The sequence below is a fragment of the Homo sapiens genome, chromosome 14 (genome assembly GCF_000001405.40).
Source record: "Homo sapiens chromosome 14, GRCh38.p14 Primary Assembly".
Taxonomy (NCBI): domain Eukaryota; kingdom Metazoa; phylum Chordata; class Mammalia; order Primates; family Hominidae; genus Homo; species Homo sapiens.
Window position 1 is genome coordinate 55,362,897 of NC_000014.9, and position 21,602 is coordinate 55,384,498.

The following is a 21,602-nucleotide window of genomic DNA, read 5'->3' on the forward strand; positions in this document are numbered from 1 at the left end:
TCCGGGTGTCTTCTGAAGCCATACAGAAAATGCTAAAATACCACACCCAAAGGGAAGGTGAGGTCAGGAACAATCTCATATGGATCTAGAGGTATCAATGCCACAGGACCCCTTTTTTCTCTCTCTCTTTTTTTTTTTTTTTGGAGACGGAGTTTCGCTCTTGTTGCCCAGGCTGGAGTGTAATGGCACAATCTTGGCTCACTGCAACCTCTGCCTTCTGGTTTCAAGCGATTCTCCCGCGTCAGACTCCTGAGTAGTTGGGATTACAAGCACACACCACCACGCCTGGCTAATTTTTTTTTTTTTTTTTTAATTTCTAGTAGAGATGGGGTTTCATCATGTTGGCCAGGCTGGTCTCGAACTCCTGAGCTCAGGTGATCCACCCACCTTGGCCTCCCAAAGTGCTGGGATTACAGGCATGAGCCACCGAACTTGGCCTTTTCTTTTTTTCAGATAGAGTCTGCTCTTTCGTCCAGGCTGGAGTGCAGTGGCATGATCTTGGCTCACTGCAACCTCAGCCTCGCAGGTTTACATGATCTTTCCACCTCAGCTTCCCGAGTAGCTGGGATTACAGGTGCCCACCACCACACCCGACTAATTTTTGTATTTTTAGTAGAGATGTGGTTTTCACCATGTTGGTCAGGCTGGTCTTGAACTCCTGACTTCAGGTGATCCACCCACCTTCGTCTCCCAAAGTGCTGGGATCACAGCTGTGAGCCACCACGCCCAGCCCACAAGACTCTTTAATGCAAGCTTGTTCAACCGGTGGCCCATGAGCTGCATGCGGCCCAGGATGGCTTTGAATGTGGCCCAACACAAATTTGTAAACTTCTTAGAACATCATGAGATTTTTTGCAATTTTTAAAAAATAGCTCAGTAGCTATTGTTAATGTGTTTTATGTGTGGCCCAAGACAATTCTTCCAATGTGGCCCACAGAAGCCAAAAGATTGGACACTCCTGCTTAATGCCTCTGCGTTTTTTTTTTTACTCAACTCGCTCTAGCCCATTTTCAACACTTAACTAGTGTCATCAAATACCTTCTGCCAATTTTCTTTTTTTTTTTTGAGACAGAGTTTCGCTCTTGTTGCCCAGGCTGGACTGCAATGGTGTGATCTTGATCTCAGCTCATTGCAACCTCTGCCTCCTGGGTTCAAGCGATTCTCCTGCCTCAGCCTCCCGAGTAGCTGGGATAACAGGCATGTGCCACCATGCCTGGCTAATTTTGTATTTTAGTAGAGACCGGGTTTCTCCATGTTGGTCAGGCTGGTCTTGAACTCCTGACCTCAGGTGATCCACCTGCCTTGGCCTCCCAAAGTGCTGGGATTACAGGTGTGAGCCACCACGCCCAGCTAATTTTCTCTTTTTAAAGGGCAGCATTCATTCAAAGGCTCCTTTAGATCCCTCCCACCACCAGAGTATCTCTGGCTCCTCCCTACAAAAGGCACAACAAAAAAGTCATTGATGTAAATAACTCTTTAGTTTACTATCCTCTTTCTTGGAGGAAAGATTGTCCCACTGGTGGTTTCTGGTTTTGTGTTGTTGTTGTTTTGAGATGGAGTCTTTGTCGCCCAGGCTGGCATGCAGTGGTACGATCTTGGATCACTGCAACCTCTGCCTCCTAGTTTCATGTGATTCTCCCGCCTCAGCCTCTTGAGTAGCTGGAATTACAGGCATGCACCACGACACCTGGCTAATTTTTTTTTGTATTTTTAGTAGAGATGGGGTTTTGCCATGTTGGCCAGGCTGGTTTTGAACTCCTGACCTCAGGTGATCCGCCTGTCTCTGCTTCCCAAAGTGCTGGGACTACAGGTGTGAACCACAGTGCCCAACTTTTTTTTTTTTTTTTTTTTTTGAGACAAGGTCTCACTCTGTCACCCAGGCTAGAGTAGAGTACAGTGGTGCAATCACAGCTCACTGTAGCCTCAACATCCCAGGCTCATGTGATCCTCCCAGCTCAACCTCCTGAGTACCTGGGACCACAGATGCACACGACCATGCCTGGCTAATTTTTCAATTTTTGTAGAAATGGGGTCTCACTGGCTGGGCGCAGTGGCTCACGCCCGTAATCTCAGCACTTCTTTGGGAGGCCGAGGCGAGCAGATCACGAGATCAGGAGATTGAGACCATCCTGGCTAATGTGGTGAAACCCCATCTCTACTTTAAAAAAAAAAAAAAAAAAAAGCCAGGTGTGGTGGCAGACACCTGCCTCAGGAGGCTGAGGCAGAATGGTGTGAACCTGGGAGGCAGAGCTTGCAGTGAGCCGAGATCGTGCCACTACACTGCAGCCTGGGCAACAAAGTGAGACTCTATCATCTCTTCTATCATCTCAAAAAAAAAAAAAAAAAAAACAAAAATGGGGTCTCACTATGTTGCGCAAGTTGGCCTTGAACTTCTGAGCTCAAACAATCCTCCTGCCTTTGGCCTCCTAAAGTGCTGGGATTTCAGGCATGAACCACTGTGCCCCGCCCTAAAAAAAATTCACTTCAACTATCTAAGCACTGGAAAATACTCTTTGCAGTGTATTTTCTTACCAAGTCGGCTGGTGGTGGTTTTCCTCATTGAATTTCAAGGCTGAGGTGCAGATGGCTTGCCCAAGAGTCCAGTTTCAAGTTTTCTGGTACATTTTATTGATGCAACTTTTAAATAATCTCCCCACTACCAATGACAAAGTTATCCTTAATTCCTCCCAATCTGTTTCCTGCATCAATCATGACATAACTCAGGATGGAGAAATCTCCCTTTAAACACCAGATGGGAGCATGCTTTAAACTGCTGCCTGGAAAGACTGAAGGACAGTACCACCAAAGCACACACCCTGTTCGAGAACCCTTCCGTTTCCTTGCCTATTTCCTCCTGTTGCCTGCCAGCCTTCTGCTCCAGATAAAGGGGCAGTATGACCATGGCAATAGCTCCTGAGGGTATCCTGGCTGGCCTGGCTCTTCCACAGTAGTCACTCTTGGTATCTTCTCCACCACCTGCAGGTGGTCCTTCTCTACAATAATCTAATCTGAAGGGTACCGCCGACTACCCACCTGGGAGAAATTAGTTATAAAAAATAAGGGTGTTGGGTTGGGGAGGGATTCTCCAAAGCTACTCAGGCATCTGAGTGGTTCCAACATTTCCCTTTTCCTCTTGTCCTGAAGAAAGTCTGGGCAGGTTCCACGTGGGCATCCTAGAGGCCTTCTGCCCCAGGGGTCTGTTGCACAAAACCAGGTCATTGTAGGTCACATGCATCAAATGATGGCTACCAAAGAAAAACACGTCTTTAGGGAAAGTATGCAACCAGCTTCTCAGCTTGGGAAAGATCATTGTTAATACCACCATAATCCATAATTTTAAAAAATATATTAACATTTTTTCTTACCTGGCAAAAAAATTCTACAAACTTCTTCTATAATTTGTATAAAGTACTCCAGGGTTCAATCTCATTCTTGCTACCCTCGATGCAGCAGTGCAAATGAACAGTTTGAAAAAGACATACACATGAGCAAAGTACTGTTAAAAGATTTATTGCAGTAATACAATAAAAGTTTAGAAAACATTTGTATGACTCAAACTGGTTTGGAAGTTGCAGAGCAATGGGGAATTCCTGCAACATGATACTGTGAGGAGATTCTCGGACACTAGTCCTCTAACAGCATGCCACTGAATGCTCTTCCCCAAATTGAGTCCTTACATGAGTCCCGTCCACTCTACCCAATGGTGATATACTGTTTTTCCCCCTTACAGATGTGCAAAACTTTTCTTATATTCCATAACCAAAAAATGTCTTTAACAGACCATTTTAAGCAGCCTGTTTGGTGCCTGTGGGTTTTTATTAGTATTACTTTGTTTCAGTAAATCATTTTAAAATGGAAAACATGACCAAGTTCTATGGCTTTTTGTTTAAACAAAATACCAGCTTCAATTTTTTAAAAAGCTGTTTACATATGGTTCTGGCACCTACATGAAAGATTTTAATGAGCAGCAAAAAGAGTAGAAAAAACAGTGGTTGAAATGTATACTTAAGAGTATTTACAGGGTGGATCCAGTGCAAAATAATGAAACCCAAAATATTTCAGCAGTGTAAGCCAGTATGTTGGTGTTCAAAACCACAAAAGGGTTCGATCACTTAACCCTATGTAAAGTGCCTCTAGTTGATATTAACAACAACAAACAAAATATATCCTATCCATAAAGTTCCCACATCTTTGTAAATTTTGTGGAAGTACTCTAGATGAGTTTGTGATCTCTGGATTCTATTCTTTAGCTTCATCTCTCATTCATGGTTTCATAAGAGGCTTAAGAAAACCATGACTGTTGTGCATCTCTCAGCTGAAGTCAGTCTCCACCACCAAGCTCCAAATCCCACTCTTACAACTCGTGAGACTAAGCTCTTACTTCTGAGGGTTTTAAGTAGCTAGACAACTCTTACAAGATCGTTAAGTTTATTTATCTGTTCAAGTCTACCATCTTCACTCTCTACGAACTCCAGAACTGGATGGGAAAATGGAAGCCCAGCAATCAATCATGAAGCTGAGCACTTAAAACAGAGATCCCAGCAGTGTAGAAGAACCCATAAGGGGCCGGGCGCGGTGGCTCAGGCCTGTAATCCTAGCACTTTAGGAGGCCAAGGCAAGCGGATCACCTGAAGTCAGGAGTTCAAGACCAGCCTGGCCAACATGGTGAAAACCCCCGTCTTTACTAAAATACAAAAATTAGCTGGGCATGATGGCAGGTGCCTATAATCCCAGCTACTCGGGAGGTTGAGATGGAAGAATTGCTTGAACCCAGGAGATGGTGGTTGCAGTGAGCGGAGATGGTGCCACTACACTCCAGCCTGGGCAGCTGAGTGAGACTCCGTCTCCAAAAAAAAAAAAGACCACCCACAACGAGAAAAGCCTACTTCCTCCTTTCATGGAAAATTCATAGAGCCAAGGAATTTGTGACTACCGGATAGAAATAAACTCCGTTCTGCAACTCTACCCAAAACTATACAAAACACCAAATATACCATTAGCAAAAGCTATATAGCACCTCGGACTTGGAGGCAAAGTATCAACTACAATTATTATGATGAGAAAAGAAGCTGGGGCATGGCAAACCTCTGAATGATTTATCAGAGGTGCTATCATGCCAATCACATAAGATATGGTAATAATGCCTGTTAGGACTCTTTCATAGGATTTCTTTTGGTAGTTGTTACATAGGATTTTTTTGCAGTTATTAAAAATAAACTACTTACATATTTGTACATAATGCCTCTCTCATTATAGTTTTCTTGTAAGATTGTCACTAAAAGAATGACAAGACACGTGAGCTGAAAATGATCTCCTGCTGAGGGAAATTCTTTTTTTTTTTGAGACGGAGTTTCGCTCTTGTTGCCCAGGCTGGAGTGCAATGGCACAATCTCGGCTCACTGCAACCTCTGCCTCCCGGTTCAAGCGATTCTCCTGCCGCAGCCTCCCGAGTAGCTGGGATTACAGGCGTGCGCCACCACACCCGGTAATTTTTTGTATTTTTAGTAGAAACAGGGTTTCACCATGTTAGCCAGGCTGCTCTCAAACTCCTGACCTCAAGTGATCCGCCTGCCTCGGCCTCCTAAAGTGCTGGGATTACAGGCGTGAGCCACTGCGCCTGGCTGGGAAATTCTTTCTTTATATTGTGCTTTCCCCAGAACAGAGCAGAGTAGCATCAGCCGTAAGGATCTGCGCTGCATTTCTGAGCAAAGCTGTGTCCTCAGAGCAACAAAGAGTTCGGGGAAACAAGTAGGATGGTTTCCCCTGAAAACACCTGCCACCTACTCAATCCCATAGAAAGAAAGTGGACACCACAAGAATGACCAGAGGCCACTTAACTAAGTGGCTTTTCCCCTGTGCCCAGGCAGGCATTGAGCTTACATAAGGGAATGACCTTCATGACTTATTTTCACCCAGAAAATATAAGTTCAATTTCAAAATGCTCATAGTGTGGATGGCAGGAATTCAACTAGGTAAGAATAAGCTTAATTCCCCTCAGAATACAAGAAAATAGTTAAAAACTCTCTAGACATTATTGCAGCCAGGATTTCTTCCATTTATGGATGTGGGTCCTAAAGAAAAAGACTTTCATTTTCTTTGGTGTGTGGGGGAAAGAAAAACAGGAATGTCTGACAAACTACGACAGAGCAGCATGAATAAAATACGTGTAACTCACCCCTCCCAAACAAAATCAAAGGACCAAATTAGAAATTTTAAATTGCCTGCTGGTTCTCATACAAAAAACAATGGCAGAAAAACTCTTATTAAAGAGCTTTTATCTTTCATGTCCTAATAATCAAGAATCACCTCTTGTGATTCAACCAACCTCTAAAACTTAAAGTGTCAGGAACAGTCTCAGCACCGCAAGGACCAGCACACTGACCCATATCTGTGGGCCCGGTGGCCCGGGCCCAGAGGGAACCCAAATCAACTGCTTCCTTGGCAGAACTGGCCACACGCACAGGTCCTCCTTCCACCAGCACTGGTCTGGGTAGAAAGACCTTCGACCCCTGTTCTCTTAATTATCATAAGCATGTTGGTCACCATCACAGGCCACTTGGCAAATAGAAATGTTTGTCTCCCTGCTTAAAAAGACAAAACAAAACAACACTTTAACCTCTTTGTTCCAGACACTATCTTAACTTAAACAGAAAATGTTTACTAGAGTGTAGTGGGAGAAGAACTTTCTTGATGCAGATTTGGTATGTTTTGGTCCATGCTCGTTAACGGTGTCCAGTGTAAGCTTTAAACCAGGAGGTCACCGAGGCTGCTGCAGAGGAGATCATCCCACCTGCACTGCTGCTCGCGATGGGTGGGGACGCCTGGGTGCTCTGACTCTGGGAGACTTCCACAGACTGGGAAGGGATATCACAAAACCGGGGACTAGGCAAGTTCTCCCAGTCTGTGCCCAGGTCGGTTTCTTCATCGCTGACGCGCTCATCTCCGCTCTCATCTGATTCTCCAGCAACTCCGGGATCCACAAATTCCATGGACTCCTCAAGGTCTGCTCGTACTTCAAAGGGCCCTGACCTGTGTGCAGACAATGAGGGTCTCTTTAGGATAACAACCATTCTCAACACCAGAAAATATGCCATCTTCCTGAAGGCCCTCACCTGAGGGGATGAGGGACGCCGCACACCCCATTCATTCCCCAAGTCTATGCAGCACTCCGTGTTGACATATGATTGCGTTTTCCTTTACCCAAATAATCTCCACCCAAGTTATAAATAAAATCATGATACCACACTTTCCCACAAGTCTGCCTACTTCATTGGTGATGACCGTGCATAGGAAAAAAACCTATTCACTGAGATGGCCCATGCTGGTCCTAAGTCTGACTTCCTGTTGTAAAGAACTGCAGTGTCTACGAAGTAAATACACGGCACTCCAATGAGACAATTCTAACAAAAAGCCACTTGATGTATACTCTGGATATTATTTAGTGTAATAAGTAATAAATGGTATACAAAGAAAACTCAGTGGGTTCCTGTACATATTTAAAAATATCACCACAATTTTCTAGGACACATTTCTAGCACAGAATGAGGCACAACTGTTTAGAATATATTCAGAGGCAATGTTGTATATTTCTGCACTGTATTTCAGGAGAAAACAATTTTTATTTCTCAAAGGTCCCTAATAACACCCTCACTGCCAAGTCCAATAACCCTTTCTTAGGCCTCATCCTCTTTGCTGGCACCTCAGCACAGGGAACCGAGTCAGCAAACCTCAGAAGCCTTTCTGCATTTCTTTTTTTTTTTATTTAGACAGAGTCTCGTTCTGTTGCCCAGGCTGGAGTGCAGTGGCGCCATCTTGGCTCCTGCAACCTCCACCGCCCAGGTGCAAGCGATTCTCCTGCCTCAACCTCCTGAGTAGCTGGGATTACAGGCACCTGCCACCATGCCCGGCTAATTTTTGTATTTTTAGTAGAGACGGGGTTTCACCACGTTGGCCAGGCTGGTCTTGAACTCCTGACCTCAAGTGATCCACCCACCCCTGCCTCTCAAAACGCTGAGATTACAGTTGTGAGCCACCACGCCCGGCCGCCTTTCTGCTTCTTTTTCCCCTCCCTTTCAAATGCCCCTCAGCTCCTGCTCCAGGGCAGCCAGGCTGCATGTCCTCCCTGTAGGCAGCCACCCCCACCCACTGCCTTCCAGGGAACTGCCCTGCAACCAGCTACAGGGTGGGACCAAGGTGCCGCTCTCTCCCTGCTGCTGCCCCCAAGATAAGCACACGATGCCTTGGTTCATTTAAGGGTTTCACTGATAACGACTTTGGGGAAAATAGGAGAGGTCGAAATAAATAGCAGGCAGAAATGAGAGCCTAGAATCGTATAGCTTGCCATTTCAGCCTATGGTCCCAAATTCTCCACAGCCTTCACAATGATGAATGGCTAGCACTGGCTTCCAACGCACCTCACCAGGTCTGCACCGTTGACTCACTTTTTACAGAAGCAAGCAGCCCTCATTCCTCCCAGACACCTGTGCTTCCCAGATGGATTAAGCAATAATAATAGCTAACATTTATGCTCCAGGGACTGTTTTTAGGGCTTTATTAAATTGGAAGATACGCCATGGGGTTTCCCACTTGGTCTCCAGTGAGCAATTTACATTTTCCAAGAGCCCCTCAGGCCGGGCGCGGTGGCTCACACCTGTAATCCCAGCACTTTGGGAGGCTGCGGCGGGCAGATCACGAGGTCAGGAGATCGAGACCATTGGCTAACACAGTGAAACCCTGTCTCTACTAAAAATACAAAAAATTAGCTGGGTGTGATGGCGGGCACCTGTAGTCCCGGCTACTCAGGAGGCTGAGGCAGGAGAACGGTGTGAACCCCAGAGGCGGAGCTTGCAGTGAGCCGAGATGGCGCCAGTGCACTCTAGCCTGGGCGACAGAGCGAGACTCTGTCTCAAAAAACAAACAAAAAAACAAAGAGCCCCTCAGACTAGGGGTGCTCTCAAGTTTACTAGGCCCCACCCTGCCCAGAAGTCAGTATTTTGCAAGGGTGAAAGGAGTAGGACTTTCTACTGCCCCTTGAATTTCTCTGCCAGCAAACTAATGGCCACTGCAGTTTTTAGCTCTGAGCACCCTCTTCTCAAGTTTCTCCTTGCACTTCATTTCTTTTCTCCCCTTTTTCTTTTCCTTGGCAAACAGTTCTACTCTAGAGCCATCTTTTCCGATTCCTCTCCTAGCGCCACTCCCAAATATCCTCTGGTTACTAAACCCTCAGGCTCATCTCACATATCTGAACCAGTCTCAAAACTTTAGCTGGCTGGGACTCCTCCCCTCCCACCTCCCACTCTGTCTGGGGTCACCAGGGCTACCTGTTATCATTAAATAAGCCCCCTTTCCATTCTCAATTTGTCACCCTGGCCCAGGTCCTCACCATATCACCACCACTTTCCCATCTGCCTCCTCTTGCTGGAGAGCTGCCTCTCTCCTCCTGGCACGCACCCACTAAAAAAGTTCACAATTTAAATTCCTTCCCTGGGCTCCCTCCTTTACTAAACCAAAGATGCTCTGATTCTGTTCTGTTCAGCTGTGCAGTCTAGGGGACCTCAGAACTGACTGCCAGGCTAAGTCTCTCATCTTCCCCAGGATCCCCCAAAGGTCCCAGTCAGCTTTTTACCACAGCTCACTCCTCCCTTCCTTCTTTCCCTTTCTCCCTCCCTCCCTTCTTTCCATCCTTTCTTCCTCACTCCTTCCCTTCCTCCTTCCCTCCCTCCCTTCCTTTCTTCCCCAGTCAGCTTTTTCCACAGCTTGCTCCTTCCTTCGCTCCTCCCTGCTCCCTTCCTTCCTTCCTTCCTTTTTACCACAGCTCCTTCCTTCTTTCCTCCCTCCCTCCAAGGCTCAGCCTGTTTTCTTCTTTGATGCTGCCTTCTCCAATCCTGGGGTCTTAGTTTTCCCAGGAGACAGGCAGAAGGGACAGAGAGGAGGAAATGTCCAAGTTCCCGGTGGACTCCGGTTCTCTGCGTGGAGAAACCCACCTGGCACGGAGCAGGCGCTCAGCTAAGTACAATGAAAAGCGACTGAATGGAAGACTCCTCAAGGGGCCAGTATGGAACAATTTTGGTTCCAATGATCAACCTACATTTCTGAGAAGCCACAGAGCAGGAGGAGAGGCCCCTGCGATGTTTCTCCACCCAGTGCCTCTCCCACTTCTAGATTAGAGATACATCACCTGCCTGCCAGACCCCAAGCTAGAGACACAGCACACACAACCAACTAGCAAAATAATTCATCCTATTTTGCTTAATGTCTTTGGGGAATTAAGATTATAAAATTGTTTCCTAATTTTTAGTTTAGCTGAATAATGGATATCTTTTTATTCAAGACCCTGAACCAGGAATACTCATTTTCTCATGGTGCTGCAGGGAGGTATTCTACCAATTAAGGCAACAAAAGGATCTTTCTAGCTTTGTAAAAGTCACTTTTATAATATATCCTATTTCAAATATGTGGGAGTGTGTGCATTGATGGACACAGAAACTGCACAAAGGATAAGCAATGGGCAAAATATTAATAGGTCAATCTGGGTAAGGGTGTATATGACTGTACTATTTTTATTACTTATTTTTTTATTTTGAGATGCAGTCTCACTCCGTTTCCCAGGCCAGAGTGTAGCAGCACGATCTCAGCTCACTGCAAACTCCGCCTCCTGGGTTCAAGCGATTCTCCTGCCTCAGCCTCCCAAGTAGCTGGGGTTACAGGCACCCGCCACCACGCCCAGATAATTTCAGTACTTTTAGTAGAGATGCAGTTTCCCATGTTGGCCGGGCTGGTCTCAAACTCCTGAACTCAAGTGATCCGCCCACCTCAGCCTCCCAAAGTGCTGGGATTACAGGTGTGAGCCACCATGCCTGGTCCTATTTTTATTTTTTTGTAATTTTTCTGTAAGTTTAAATTTGTTTCAAAAAAAAAAAAAAAAGTTTATCTTTTCAGAATAGAATCCTCAGTTGTGCCGGTCTGAACAGAAACAGGAAATCCCACCCAGGTTCCATGAACAATCTTCTCTACACTTTGATTCTGATGAAGCAGGTGTGAAAAGGGGACTCCTGAAGTTCTACTTCCTGTCCTCTGGCCATAAACTTAGATGTGACTCACAGCCTAATTGTGTGTGCAATTCTCAATGGAAAACCTGACTCAAGAGTAAGCCTACAGAAAACTTCAGACCCGCTACAAAAATTCACCTCCAGTATGAGTGCTTTTTTCCCTCAACTACCAGCAACGCTGGATTCATCGAGCCTTCCTATTTTTGTCAAACTGATGGTTGCAAATGGAAACTTGTTTTGAATTGCATTTTAAGTTTTTTATTATTTTAATGTTTTTTTTTAAAGAGATGGGGGTCTCACTGTGTTGCCCAGACTGAAGTACAGTGGCTATTCACAAAAGTGATCACAGTTCACTGCAGCCTCCAACTCCTGAGCTCAAGTGATCTGACTACTTACATTTCTTGTGTGAGCCGCATGTTTTAATCTTTTGTCTATTTTTCTAATAGGTTGTTGGTCTTTCCTGTACTGATTTGAAAGATTTCAGTTGTCTAGATTTTAATCTGTTGTCTGTTATAGAGGTTGTGGAACCTATCTATGACATGTCTTTTAACTTTGTTTATGGCAGCTTTCACTAGACACACTCAGAGTTCTGACACAGGAAGATGTCTAACTCCTTTCCTTTATGGTTTTTGGGTTTTGTGGCTTACTTGGGAATTCCCTCACCACCCTATCATTATAAAACACTGTCCTTTTGCTTATTTTATAGCTGTATTTTTTTAAATAAGGTTTTTTATATCATCTGGATTTTATTTTTGTATATAGAATGTGGTATGAACTCAACTTTTCCCCCATATGAATACCCAACTGGCCCAACGCTATTGAACCATTATCTGATTCAACGCCTCCTCTATCATAAGATTATATTTCCACATATACAAGAGTCTGTTTCGGGACTATTTTCTTCCTCTAATCACTCCACCTATTTGCATGCTAACAGCACTCTGTTTTAATTACCTTTATGCTATGTTTTAAATGGACCAACCCCATCCCTCATTATTGTTTTCAAAACTTCCTTGCAGACTATACTTCTAGTTGAACTTTAGAATCAGCTTGTCAAAGCTCCATGAAATACGATCAGTCTTCCTTTTGAGAAGTAGCCCTTTTGCAACACTGAGCCTTCTCATCCTGGAAAATCATAAGGGTTTTCCCTGCCTGTGGCTTTCTTTCAGCTCCACTCCTCATACGGTGTGTAGAGCCATTCAAATAATACATGTGGAATAAAAATAAGCTTCATAATTTTTATAATCATTTTACATATATTTTATTAAGATCACTGCTATGGAATTTATAGTTTTTGCTGCTACAGTAAAAGGAATACTTTTTCCATTAAATTTCCAAACTGGTTGTTGTTGGCACACAAGACAGCAACTGTTTTTTGTATGTTTATCTTTTTCTTTGTGAAGAGACAGGGCTTCATTCTGTCATCCAGGTTGGAGTGCAGTGGCACAAACTTCCACAGCCTGGAGCTCCTCAACTCAGGCGACCCTCCCACCTCAGCCTCCACAGCAGCTGGGACTACAGGCATGCATTACCACGCCGGGCTAAATTTTTTTTTTTTTTTTTTTTTTTTTTTACTTTTTGTAGACATGGAGTCTCACTATGTTGCCCAGGCTGGTCTTGAACTCCTGGGCTCAAGTGATCCTCCCACTTCAGCCTCCCAAGTAGCTGGCATTATAGGCGTGAGCCACCATGCCTGGTTTGAACTATCATTTCAAACAGTTTCTTAGTTCTCTTGGATATCCAGTTCAATAATTATACCATCTACAATACTCCCAACTTAGTTTCTTTCTTTCCAATATAAATACACTTCACTTCTTTTTAAAAATGCTTTGCCTTGGCAAGGCCTTCAGAGCTGTTAACACAGCACTGATAGTAGGCATCCTTGATTGTTCCTATGTAATCTATTGCATAAATTACATCAGTATCTATGTAAGTAACGTGCCATGAAGTATAACTTTCCTTGTAGGTTTATGATAGATATCCACTAGTAATAATCTACTTTTAACTTGCTAGTAATTTTCCCCCCTAATTATTAATGGGAACTGCATTTTATTTAATTCTCTTTGGCATCTATCAGGTCGATCTTATGTTTTTTCTTCTTTAATCTGTTAATGTGATGAAATAATAAATACTGGTTAACTGCATGAGTGTCTACTACTGTGGAGTCAGCCAGGTGTGCACTGAGACCCTGGCTCCACCACTTGTACTGGCTCTGTGACCATGGCCATGAGTTACTTGACCATACTAAGCGTCAGTTTCTCCTGTCTATAAAGTAGGAATAATATCCAAGGCAAGTAAAGTGGTTGGCCTTGTGTCAATAAATAGTGGCCCAATAAATATTAGCTCTTATTAGTAAGGATAAATTTCCTAATTTGAGCCCTTTACAGGTAAGGTACAGAGAGGATGGTGAGTAAACTCACAGAAACCAACCATCAAAACTGGGATGGATTTCTAATGTTCACGTTTCCATGGCTCATGAACCAATGAATGGGATCAGGGGTGAGAGGCATGAACTCCCTGTAAAATGGCACAACATTGTAAGTATATGTGCAGTTTCCTGGCGAGTTCACAGCTTTTTATAAAGGAGTCTATGTCCTGGAAATGTTAACTATCTGAGGTGGGGAGGGGGAGGAAGCATAAGACAATGGTTAAAAGCAGATTATCACTGAAAGTTAACTGCTGCATGGGGGAAGCCAGGCACACGTGTTAGTGGACGAGGCCTCCCCTAATGCCTTGGGTTTCAGTAGATGGATGATGCGGAAGGGAAACCCAAAAGAACTTTCCCGCCATTTGTCTTTTCTTGAGTTCTCTTTCAAAAGTGTAAATATATAACCATATCACATCTCTGCAGAAATGTATGGACAGACTGCTAAGAGCAAGGAAAAAAGGGCAAACACCCAGCACAGGCGTGCATGGATGGAACGAAAGCTAAGGCTCGTACAGTACATGCTTTCATGGGCTGAGAGAATAAAAAGATCTCACACACCAGCCCTGGTTGGTATTTTTTGTTTAACTGTTTTTAAGCTCATTGATTTCAAACCAGTTCATCCCCTACACCTCTAATACCTTTTATCTCCAACAAATGGTGATCAGATTGACTCAGTGATAAGAAAATTGTGTGGCCAGGCACGGTGGCTCAAGCCTGTAATCCCAGCACTTTGGGAAGCCGAAGCGGGTGGATCACCAGAGGTCAGGAGTTTGAGACCAGCCTGGCCAACATGATGAAACCCTGTCTCTACTAAAAATACAAAAATTAGCCAGGCATGGTGGTGCACACTTGTAATCCCAGCTACTTGGGAGGCTGAGGCAGAAGAATCGCTTGAACCCAGGAGGTGGAGGTTGCAGTGAGCTGAGATTGCACCACTGCACTCTAGCCTGGGTGACAAGGGTGAAACCCCATCTCAAAAAAAAAAGGAAATTGTGAATTGTTACGACGGACAAGGAGTGAGGAGGAGCAAAAGAAAATGTGCAGGAAACAGGGCAGACACTAGGTAGGGCTAGAGAGTTCACAGCTTTTTATAAAGGGGTCTATGTCCAGGAAGGGCTGGAGAAGAAATAGACGCAGATCCAAAGACATGGCCTTTGGACTTCAGGAAAAGCACAAAAAGGCACTACTCCAGGAACATGTGGGTTCTTCAACTGCGCTTCAGGTATTAAAAATGATTGATATTAATTTTTTCTAAGACATGATTACAAAAAAAACCCATAAAAGTTCAAATATAATTACCTTTGTTTCTTTCTGTATTGGACTCCACTATTTTTGTCCGGTTTGAGGAGTTTGGGATTAGGGAACACGACTCTACTATGCCAACATACAACTCCTCTAACAGGATTCACAAAAACACTTAGAGAAAAGCAACAAATATCTTCTTACCTGCCTAGGTGTTCAGAGCTTGGACTGACCAGGTACATTAGATTCCTGAGGGTATGCAGTGGTTGTAATTGATCTAAATTTACATGCTAAAAAAAATTAAAGAATTGGTTAATATTTTCAACTATTTAACAAAGTAAAAATTAGTTCACAACCTATTTTTCATACCTGAGAAAAACAAAGGTAAAGAATATTTGCATTCAGTTTCTTCACTGCTCGAGTAAATTTCTGCTTGCTTAGATTTTCGCCACAAAATTCACTGTAAAACAAACATACAATTTATAAAGTTGCATTTTTTGAGGAAATTCTATGTTAAAATTTCCATTTACAGTACAATTAGGTATAACACATACTCTGTGCCCTTTTACTCCTTAGTAAATTGCACTTAAAGACTTTCTAAGAATACACCATTCCCCTCAGAGAACAATTATACTGCATCTATACAAATTACAAATGCACATACCCTTTGACCAAGCAATTCCACGTCAGGACATTTATTCTACACAAATATCTGCACACTAATGAAATGAAAAATGTACAAGATTATTTCTTGAAGCATCAACAGCAGACTGGTAAGATCTTGACACCTTTACAGAAAGGCAAACTATACAACTGTCATCTGCTTTATGCAGAATGGCAGTCAAAGGCTTATAACGGCCCTATGAGGCCCACAAGATTTGCACCCCATCTTCCTCTCTGCCCTCGTTATTCTATCCAGGACTTTGCAACTGCCATTCTTTTTACCCACAGCCTCTTTCCTTAGGGGTCCACACAGCTTGCTTGCTGCCTCCCTCCCTTCCTCCCTCCCTCCCTCAGTTCCCCTATGATCACACACCTGCCCACTCAAACACAGCAAGCCCCTCTCTCACCACATTCCCTCTTACCTTTTTTGTTTGTTTTTTAGGCAGGGTCTCACTCTGTCACCCAGGCTGGGGTGCACTGGCATGATCATAGCTCACTACAGCCTGCAGCCTCAATCTCCTGGGCTCAAGCGATCCTCCCACCTCACTCTCCCAAGTAGCTGGGACTATAGGTGTGTGTCACCACATCCAGCTAATTTTTTTTTATTTTTAGTAGCGACAAGGTCTCACTATGTTTCCCAGGCTGGTCTCTAACTCCTGAGCTCAAGTGATCCTCCTGCCTCAGCTTCCCAAAGTGCTGGGATTACAGGCAGGCATGAGCCACCATACCTGGCCCTCTCATCCTGTTTTAACGTTCTCCACAGCACTTACTGCCATGTGACATGCTGTTGATTTGTTTACTATTTATGCTGGGCCCTCCATGAAAATGTGAGCTCCAAGAGGGCAAGGATTATTTTTTTGTCACCAATGTACCCTCCAGTGTTGGCACACAGTAGGTACTTCATAAATATGTGTTACATAACTAAAAATTTTAAAAGCAAAGTGTAAACAGTGTTTATTTAAAGGGGGAAGATGATGGCCGGGTGCAGTGGTTCATGCCTGTAATCCCAGCACTGTGGGAGGCAGAGGAGGGCGGATCGCTTGAGCCCAGGAGTTCAAGACCAGCCTGGGCAACATAGGGAGACCCTGTCTCATACAAAAAAATACAAAAAAAAATTAGCCAGGTGTGGTAGCATGAACCTGTGGTCCCAGCAACTCGGGAGGCTGAGGTGGGAGGATTGCTTGGGCCTGGGGAGGGACGGAGGTTGCAATGAGCTAAAATCGTGCCACTGCACTCCAGCCTGGACGACAGAGTGAGACCCTGTCTTAAGAAAAAGAAGAAAGTAAACTTTTAATTTTTTAAAAAAATTAAAAAGAATAAGAATTTCTTTAAGTGGGAGAAGATGGTAATAATATGTTTATATATGCTTGAAATGCAATGATAGTTGGAGGGTAGTAGGAAGATTGTAGTGCAAACTGGGTAGGCTGTATATCTTTAAATTTTCTGAATTTTATTTATTTTTGAGACGAAGTCTCATTCCGTCACTCAGGCTGGAGTGCAGTGGTGTGATCTCAGCATCACTGCAACCTCCAGCTCCCGGATTCAAGCGATTCTTCTGCCTCAGCCTCCAAATAGCTGGGATACAGGCGCAGGCCACCATGCCCAGCTAGTTTTTGTATAAATGTTTTGAATTTTAAACCATGTGAGTTTTTTATTAAAAAACAACAACAACAAACAAAAAGAATTCAGGGCAGGGCACAGTGGCTCACCTGTAATCCCAGCACTTTGGGAGACCGAGGCAGGTGAATCACTTGAGGTCAGGAGTTCAAGAGCAGCCTGGCCAACATGGCAAAACCCCCCTCACTCCTAGAAATACAAAAATTAGCCAGGCGTGGTCGTGGGTGCCTGTAATCCCAGCTACACAGGAGGCTGAGGAGGGAGGATTGCCTGAAACTGTGAGGTGGAGGTTGCAGTGAGCAGAGATTGCGCCACTGCACTCTGGCCTGGGCGACAGAGCGAGACTCTGTCTCAAAACAACAACAACAACAACAACAACAAATCAAAGAATTCAACGGCTGCGATTTAACATATGAGGATCTGCAGCAAACCCTCTGAACATCCTGATACTCCCCTTTATATTCTCTGTGGTCTTCTGGAAGACTTCACGTACAACTGTAAGATAATGAAACGAATCTGCACATAAGGCTTTTGAAATTAATCTCAATATTTCAATCCGACCTTCTCTGTCTTGGTAATACTTACATTCTTATTTTTGGTTTATTGGAATAAATAAAGACAAAATAGAAACTTGAAAGAGCCATGATAAAGATGACATTACCACCTTCAATTACTTGCCTGTTGCAGAGCTTTTTGGGAAGATTTACATCAAGTATATGAGACAGAATGTTGACCAGCTGAGTTGCATAGCACAGCGCAGCACTGATGGTGTAGGCAGGGTTACTCTGCTCCATGTCTGCAGTAAGAAAACAACCACCATGTACAAAACCTTAATTCCAACAAAACTACTAATAATCCACGAGTTTATCATTTATGATTTTATCATGATAGCACTGTTACGTTTTAGTGCTTCCTTAATAGATGCTCCATGACCAGACATAAATGGTCCATTCTTTGTGTGTATATATATATATATATATATTTTTTTTTTTTTTTTTGCTGAGAGCAATGTAACAGAGCAAATGGGCCTAAATAGACCCAACATAAATGAAATTAAAGTCTGACCTGTGTGAACCTGATAACGTAATATCAAAACAATAAATGCCCAACTTGAATGTCACCTCTCCAGAGAGGGCTCTCCTGACAACCCTACGGAAGAGTCATCCCTTCCTCTGTACCCCATCCTGCCCCAGGATGCTCCCCTAGTTCCTTCCATGGCACCCACTCAATGTACAGCATCTCGATCATTTACTTGCTTCCTACCTTTCTCCCCTGAGAAGGGCAAAGGGCCACCTCTGTCTTGGTCACCTTTGTATCTCCAGCACCCAGCAATGTGCATGACACAAAGCATGAGCTCACTAAATATTTACTGAGTGACGAAATGAACAAAGAATCTTTCTCCACCAAAGAGAAACTGCAGGGGTTTTAAAGGGTTTTCCCATTGGGGCCTTTCAGTCTCCATTTAGGACTACTAAAACACATTACAAAGTTATACACTATAAATATGGGTCTAAACGGGTTAAATATACTTCTTTAAATAACGTCCTCTTACATAAACAAGACAATATTAACCCCCAAAAGGTGAGACATCTAAAAAATGTTTTCAGTCCATCAAGTGATGAATGAATAAATAAAATGTGTCTTATCCATATGATGGAATATTACTCAACCATAAAAACGAATGAAACACTAATATATACTATCATGTGGATGAATCTTGAAAACATTACGCTAAGTGAAAGAAGTCTGACACAAAAAGCTATATGTTCTGTGATTCCATTTATATAAGCTGCCCAGAACAGGCAAATCTATAGACACAGAAAGCAATGTGTGGTTGCCAGGAGCTGAGGGGAAGGGAGAGTGGGGAAATGTGACACTTTCATGCCATGGGGTTTCTGTCTGGGGTGATCAAAATGTTTTGAAATGACATGGAGGTGATGGGAGCACAGTGCTGTGAATGTACTAAATGCCCCTGAATGGTTCACTTGAAAGCTCTTCATTTTGTTATGTCAATTTTACCTATAACTCTCTCTATATATAGATTTCAAAGGATATGCTGCTTCTCACCAGGCCCCTGGGTTGTTTTCTTCTCCTCCACCCAGCTGTAGTAGGCAGAGTAGTCCCCATTGTTAGGGAGGCTAATCCAAGGCCCTGTAATGCTAATGCTGGTGTCTCCGTTGTGATCGTCACAGACCCATCGTCCTGAGAGGTAAGTTGTCCTCCGGGCTTCAGCAAGCTTGCTCACAGTGCTGGAGGTCATGGCACTGTCACTCTCTGAAGACACATCTGCGGGGTCTCTACAAGTAGGAAGACACACACGGATTTTCAAGAGAGAGGGTTTTTAAGGGCATGCAATATAACTGCAAGACATGCTAGAACATCGAAAAGCTGCCTATGAGCACAGAAATTTTACATTAAATTTTTATTTTTTATTTTAGAGATGGGTGTCACTCTGTTATCCAACATGGAGCGCAGTGACAGATGTAATCATAGCTCACTGAAGCCTTGACTCCTAGACTCCAGAGATACTCCTGCCTCAGCCTCCTAAGTAGCTGGGACTACAGGTACCTACCTACCACCACACCTGGTTAACTTAAAAAATTTTTTTTTGTAGAGATGGGGTCTCACTTTGTTGCCCAGGCTGGTCTTGAACTCCTGGCCTCAAACAATCCTCTGAAAGTACTGAGATTATAATCATGAGCTACCGTGACCAGCCAAAGTGCAAATATTTCAGTTGTGAGCCACCATGCCTGGCCAGGAATTTAACTGAAATATACGTAGATAAGAGCTTGCTATCAGAGAGGAAGATCAAACCAGCTGTGGCACAGAAGCCCACACAATGTGAGGAAGACGGAACCATGAGGTAGGGCTGAACATATAAGGTTCTCAAACTACTTGGTCTCAACACCTCTCTACGTGTTTAAAACACTTTGGAATTCCAAAGAACTTTTGTTTATATGGGTTAGATTACTGATACTGAATTAGAAATACTGAGAAAAATATAAATAATTCATTCAAAAATACCAATAAACCTATTATACATTTTTATGAAAAAACTTTCAAAACAAAAAATTAGTAAAGAGTGACACTGTTTTACATTTTTTAAACTCTCTTTAATACTCAAGTCTTTCTGTTGTTCTTTCAAGTAAAAATAGCATCCCACAAAAAGAGCAGCTAGTTCAGCGTGCAGCTCAGTCTCTCAAGTGCTTTTCCTTGAGCCAGCAATGGTACTTCAGTGTGCAGCACAAGGGCCTTACGCACGCGTCCCATGCCATCATATGCCACAGCCAGCCCTGTATTCACAGGTTCCATGTCTTGAACTAACCGAGGACTGAAAATATTCGGGGGAAAAAAAGAAAGAAAATAAACAACAGGGCTAGGTGCAGTGATTCATGCCTGTAATCCCAGCACTTTGGAAGGCTGAGGCAGGCAGATCACTTGAGGTCAGGAATTCGAGATCAGCCTGGCCAACATGGTGAAATGCCATCGCTACTAAAAATACAAAAATAAGCTGGGCGTGGTGGTGGGTGCCTGTAATCCCAGCTACTCGGAAGGCTAAGGCAGGAGAATTGCTTGAACCTGGGAGGCAGAAGTTGCAGTGAGCCGAAATCATGCCACTACACTCCAGCCTGGGTGACAAAGCGAGACTCCATCTCAAAAAAACACAAAAAAACAAAACAACAACAACAACAACAAAAAAAACCCCCAAGAACAACAAAAAATAACAAGCCCATCATGATGACTCATGCCTGTAATTCCAGCACTTTGGAAGGTCAAGGCAGGTGGACTGCTTGAGCTCACGAATGGTGCTATAATCATACCATTGCACTCCAGCCTGGGCAACAGAATGAGACTCCCTCTCAAATCAAAAAACAAAAAAAAACCCACCATGAGAAGTCACAGCAGGTACAAATGCAGTGAGGGGGAAGAACATAGCATGCTTGGGGAACAGAGATGGTCAGTGTGGCTGGTGTGTGGGATGCACAAGGGAAGTGCCAGGCGACAGTACTGGGAAAGCAGGTAGGAAGCAGGCAGTCTGGGAAGGGCCTTCTGTGCTGCACCAAGTTTAGATTCTGTCCTCTTGGCCAGTGGTTCTTCGTATCTTTCCTTCTGCCACAACATACGTATAAGATAGCTGCTACTGCCTGCCACAGATAAGACTGTGGCCAGTTCTGAGCTGTACTGCTGCGTCTCCCTTCTCCCACAAGAAGTTGAGAGAAAGGCAAACAAGAAACCTTATTAGAAGGGTAACTTTAAAACCACCAGCTTCTTTTTAAAAAATTAATGGCATATAATAACATACACTAAATAAAAGATTAAAACAGCACAGAAATAGTTTTTCTTCATATTTTCTCCTCGTGTGTGTATTTTCTTTTTGAAAAAAGTCAGCCTTACAGAAAAGCTGCAAGAATTTTAAAGTTTCCCTGTATACACTTCACTCAACTTCCCCAAAGTATCAATTCAGGAAAATATTATACAATAATCACAACCAGATAATCAGCACTGCTACAACACTATTAACTAATTTACAGACCTTATTCACCTCTCTCCAACTGTCCTGCTAATATCTCTTTTGGGGTTCAGGACTCAAGATCACACATTGC

The 21,602-nt window shown here is 43.6% G+C and overlaps 2 protein-coding genes across 8 annotated transcripts in view; one reads left to right on the forward strand and one right to left on the reverse strand.

The window, feature by feature from the left end:
* The window catches only part of FBXO34 (F-box protein 34), a 171,629-nt gene that overhangs the window by 91,476 nt on the left and 58,551 nt on the right, over positions 1-21,602 (forward strand). For 2 of the 6 annotated variants that reach the window (XR_007064026.1, XR_007064021.1), the window contains exon 5: positions 19,437-21,325. The exons of 3 other annotated variants lie outside the window; for them this stretch is intronic. The gene's annotated coding sequence lies outside the window, so the exon portion shown is untranslated. Of the gene's footprint in view, positions 1-10,938; positions 13,193-19,436; positions 21,326-21,602 lie in introns of those variants that run through there. One more of the 6 variants, XR_007064028.1, reaches the window with a different exon arrangement.
* ATG14 (autophagy related 14) overlaps positions 3,495-21,602 on the reverse strand; it is a 45,440-nt gene continuing 27,332 nt past the window's right edge. For both annotated transcript variants that reach the window (NM_014924.5, XM_011536563.3), the window contains 5 exons: positions 19,066-19,295; positions 17,677-17,794; positions 15,088-15,178; positions 14,923-15,008; positions 3,495-7,029 (listed from right to left, as the gene is read on the reverse strand). In NM_014924.5, coding sequence (NP_055739.2) covers positions 6,723-7,029; positions 14,923-15,008; positions 15,088-15,178; positions 17,677-17,794; positions 19,066-19,295 — 832 coding nt within the window. In that variant the 3' untranslated portion in view covers positions 3,495-6,722. The remainder of the gene's footprint in view (positions 7,030-14,922; positions 15,009-15,087; positions 15,179-17,676; positions 17,795-19,065; positions 19,296-21,602) is intronic.